Raw genomic sequence first — 2,986 nt, 5'->3', positions numbered from 1 at the left:
TTTAAGGAGGAGAAGGCTTGTGAGAAGAGAGGGTTAAGCAGTGAGGCAAATGGCTACATTTTTGTGAGACTTTAATTAGTACCCAGCAAATCTACCTTTTACATGAAGTAAGGTAAACATTCCAAGAAAATGGGAGTAAAAGAAGAGTAAATTATGCAGATGTCTCAAGGCAGATGAAGGAACCATTTATCTCATCTTGTCTTTGTTCTGCACCTGGGAAGATAAGCTTGTAATATACATTATCAGTGTGAAATCTAAAAGACTTTCGTTTTAGGAGCTAGACTTCAATGGCAAAGCTAAAGATAAAATTGACATTTCCTTGTTTTAGAGGAGAATATATATTTTGAAAGGTTTTGAGGCCAGAAAAGGATTTACTTATGAACAGTTTGTGAGGGCAGTCATCTGAGATGTATAAGGCTTTCTACCCTTCTGTGGAGGTCTGACCAATGTGTAATGCTTTGACATAAGGTTAGGAAGTAACAGATGTCCATTTGGGAAAAGGATGGCAGTGTTGTAAGACTCATTCTCCAGGCTTAACTTTCCTTTTGGCATAACAAGTTTGATGGTCCTGAGAAATTGTTTGTTGTTGTTGTTGTTGTTGTTGTTGTTCTTTCACAAAATATGCATTTCTTTTGGTCTATCTCCTCTCACTGGAATGAAAGTTTCACGAGGGCAAGGATTTTTCTGTCTTGTTTATTGCTATGTCCCTAGCACTGAAAACAGTTCTCATAATAGATGCTTCATAAATATTTATTGAAAAAATAGTTCCAAGATAGTCTTCATTTTACTATTCTGTGTTTTTTTAATTTTTGCACACTGGGCACGAACTGCTTATATAATCAAAAATATTAAAATAAGCATAAGGAAAGTCATACACAACACATAACTATATATAACTTTCTCCAAAGACATTACAAATAAAATAGGAAATTCTGGGAAAATATTGCAGGTCCAGAAAATTTAAATATTTCCAGGTTGAGTACCTTAATTATTCACTTATTAACTTGAAATATATTAGTGATTTCTCCCTCTTGTCTATGAAGCTCTTTCTTCTCAGATATATATTTTGACAAATATAAATTTCAAAAAATAATGTCATGGTTAGAAAGGAAGTATAAAAAATTGTTATTTTATTTGGAAAAATGGAACAGGATAAGAAATATACTACTAGCAAGCCAGTGGCCCACCTTTAAGCCTCCAATATTTTTTATGGATTTAAGAAGCTACAAATAACATCAATTTTATAGTAGCAATAACCAACAAAGTAAAAGAGCTTCAAATGAAAACAGCAGAAAATTCAATTGGTTCCCTTGGTATTTGATCTAAAGTAAGATAACTTTGTTGACAGTAGAAGGTTTTTAATTTGTCTTTTCACCCACCCACTTGTCTTTCTTTAGCAAAGATGACCCAGGGGCTGAGGTTGCCCTTAAAACTTAATTCATTTGGTTTTTCCTGGCCATCAGTCACACATGCATGTGGGAAAAGAAGCAAAAGAACATTGAGTTTTCATATAAAGCAAAACAGAAAAATTGATTTTCTTTTTCAATTATGCAACTCATTGAGGAACTGATTACCTGGTGTGAGTTTGGGCAAATGTATTCCTTAACTGATGATCAGTGTATTAAAATCCTCCAGTGGGAACATACTGCCTCTCCTCTTGGTTCTAGCTGCTACACTATATGTTGTACAACTTGCCATTCATTGCCAGTTGCTCCTCTCAGAGAAGCCCCTGTCCCTGAAGTTCACTCCCCTTCATCTGACCGCAGATGTCACTTCTGTTTTAATGGATCTGCTCTCCTGACTCATCCTGCTGGTGACTAGTATGTGGGTATTTGCTCATGTTGGAATTTCTTTCATGTGGTTTGATAAATATCAACTCTCTGATTTGCCTGATTCATAAACTAACTGCAAAATAAGACCAAAAATATTTAAGCATTATCCTCTTTTGAGTGTGAGCTGTAATCAGTGACTGAGAGTATAGAAAAGAGAGGTAAAGAGAGTAACTTTACAGTGGCTAAATCTAGAAAACACTGTCTTGGCCAGGGATTCAAAATTTATATCATCAGTCATTACTCCTGTAGATAGCATGTACCATGAAATGATGTGATGAGAATGGCATATCACTTCTGTGGTATTCTTCCCCAAAATTCAGAATCTGTCTAACTGTGAGAAAAACATTAAACAAAACCAGACTGAACATTTTACAAAATACCTGGCCATCTCAAAACTGTAAATAGGCCAGGCATGGTGGCTCATGCCTGTAATCCTAGCACTTTAGGAGGCCAAGATGGGCGGATCACCTGAAGTCAGGAGGTCAAGACCAGCCTGGCCAACGTGGCGAAATGCTGTCTCTACTAAAAATACAAAAATAAGCCAGGTATGGTGGTGTATGGCTGTAATCCCAGCTACCCAGGAGGCTGAGGCAGCAGAATCACTTGATCCCCAGAGGCAGAGCTTGCAGTAAGCCAAGATTGTGCCACTGCACTCTATCCAGCCTGGATGACAGAGTGGGACTCCATCTAAAAAAAAAAAGAAAACAGTAAATAATAAAGAACAAGAAACAAAACTGTTCTAGACCAATCGATGACTAAATTGATCCTGGAACAGAAAACAAGCATTAGGGGAAAAAATAGTGAAATCTGAATAAAGCCTGGAATTTAGTTAATAATTATATATCAATGTTTGTTTCTTAGTTGTGACAAAATTACCATGGTAATGTAAGATATTAAGAACAGGGGAATCTGTGTCAGCAGTATTCCAGAATACTGTATACTACCTTTTCAAATCTTCTGTTCAATCTAAAAGTGAGGGAAAAGAAAGGAACCAGTTAGGCAGATAGCTAGGACAAGTCCTCGGTAGAATTCCTTTTTCACTAACAAAAGAACAGCCTGAAAGATCAGACTTCAAGCATAGATAAGGAGGCAAGGTCCACCATAAAGATGCCTTCTGTGTAACTAGCAAGGGTCACATATACACAGTGGGCTTC

The 2,986-nt window shown here is 36.6% G+C and overlaps 1 annotated feature.

Annotated features, from left to right (window-relative positions):
• Nucleotides 1,482-2,681: an enhancer, noted in NCBI's record as "P300/CBP strongly-dependent group 1 enhancer chr12:33333175-33334374 (GRCh37/hg19 assembly coordinates)". NCBI's record gives its function as "activates an origin of replication core promoter dependent on BRD2, BRD4, P300/CBP, MED14 and CDK7 cofactors, with strong dependence on P300/CBP, by STARR-seq in HCT116 cells {active_cell/tissue: HCT116}" and the evidence as "EXISTENCE:reporter gene assay evidence [ECO:0000049][PMID:35650434]".

The sequence above is a fragment of the Homo sapiens genome, chromosome 12 (genome assembly GCF_000001405.40).
Source record: "Homo sapiens chromosome 12, GRCh38.p14 Primary Assembly".
NCBI classification, from domain to species: domain Eukaryota; kingdom Metazoa; phylum Chordata; class Mammalia; order Primates; family Hominidae; genus Homo; species Homo sapiens.
This window is presented reverse-complemented; position numbering and strand designations above follow the sequence as displayed.